The following is a 1,383-nucleotide window of genomic DNA, read 5'->3' as shown; positions in this document are numbered from 1 at the left end:
TAATCACTAATCGACTTCCTACCTCTCTTGTCTTGACATTTCACAAACATAAAATCATACAATATTTCACTGTTATCTTTATTATTTGTTTTTCTGCTAGCTTTGCATTTAATTTGCTCTTTTTTTAGTTTCTTAAGGTGGTAGCTTAGGTTATTAAGATATTTCTTCTTTTGTTATATAGGTTCTTAAAACAATGAATTACACTCTAATCTCTGCTTTATTTGAATCCCATAGATCTTCACATATTTATGTGTTTCCATTTTCATTGAAAATATTTTCTAATATCCCCTGTGATTTCTTTTTTGACCCACAGTTATTTTAGAAATGCACTATTTAATCCAAATATTGGGGGATTTTCCAAATTTCTTTTCGTTCTTGATTTCTAATTTAATGTCTTGTGGCTGGAGAACATACTGTACATTATTTCAAGTCTTTTAAATTTATTGACATTCATTTTATGGCCTAGCATAGTGTGTCTTGGAGAAGGTCCATACACACTTGAAAAAATGTGTATTCTGATGTTGTTGGATGAAGTGTTCTATACATGCCAGTTATGACAAGTTGGTTGATAGTACTATTGAAGTCTTCTATATCATTGCTGATTTCATATATAGTTTTAAGTCAATTACTGAGATAGGATTATTAAAATCTTGGACTATGTTGAAACATTAATTTTTTTCTTTAAATTTTGTCAGGTTTTACATCACATATTTTGTAACTCTTGTTAAAAGTGTCTCTTTCTGGTACCTTGACCTTTTTATTATTATGAAATTTTCCTTGTTGTCTCGAATAACGCTTTTTTCTTAAAATCAATCTTGTCTTAGTATAGCTACTCTGGCTCTCTTATATTTTACTGTTTGCATGATGTGTCTTTTCCACTGTTTTACTCTGAAACTGTATTTTTGAATCTATGGTATATCTCTTGTAAACAATATAGAGTTGGACTTTGTATTTTTTTAAATGTAGTCTGATAATCTCTGTCTTTTGATTGGACTATTTAAATCATTCACATTTAATGTAATTTTTAGTGTAATTAAAATTATGTCTTCAATTTTTTCCATTTGTTTTCTATATGGCTCAGGTCATTTCTCTTTTTTGCTTCCTCTTTTACTGTCTTCTTTTTTGTTAGATTGATATTTTCTAGTGTATCATTTATTTTTCTTTTTTGTTAAATTATTTTCTTTGAGGATGTTCTCAATTTTGCAACATGTATCTTAACTAATTACAATCTACTCCAGAGTCATATCCATTCATAAAATAAACTTTGCTCCAATATAATTTCTTTGTGGTATTGTCATACAAATGACATTTTTCTATAAGCTCGACAATATGGTTTTATAATTATAGTTTTATACAATCTTACACATTTTAAATTACACAAGA

The sequence above is a fragment of the Homo sapiens genome, chromosome 9 (genome assembly GCF_000001405.40).
Source record: "Homo sapiens chromosome 9, GRCh38.p14 Primary Assembly".
Classification (NCBI taxonomy): Eukaryota; Metazoa; Chordata; class Mammalia; order Primates; family Hominidae; genus Homo; species Homo sapiens.
The sequence above is the reverse complement of the archived record's forward strand: the minus strand, read 5'-3'. Positions refer to the sequence as shown.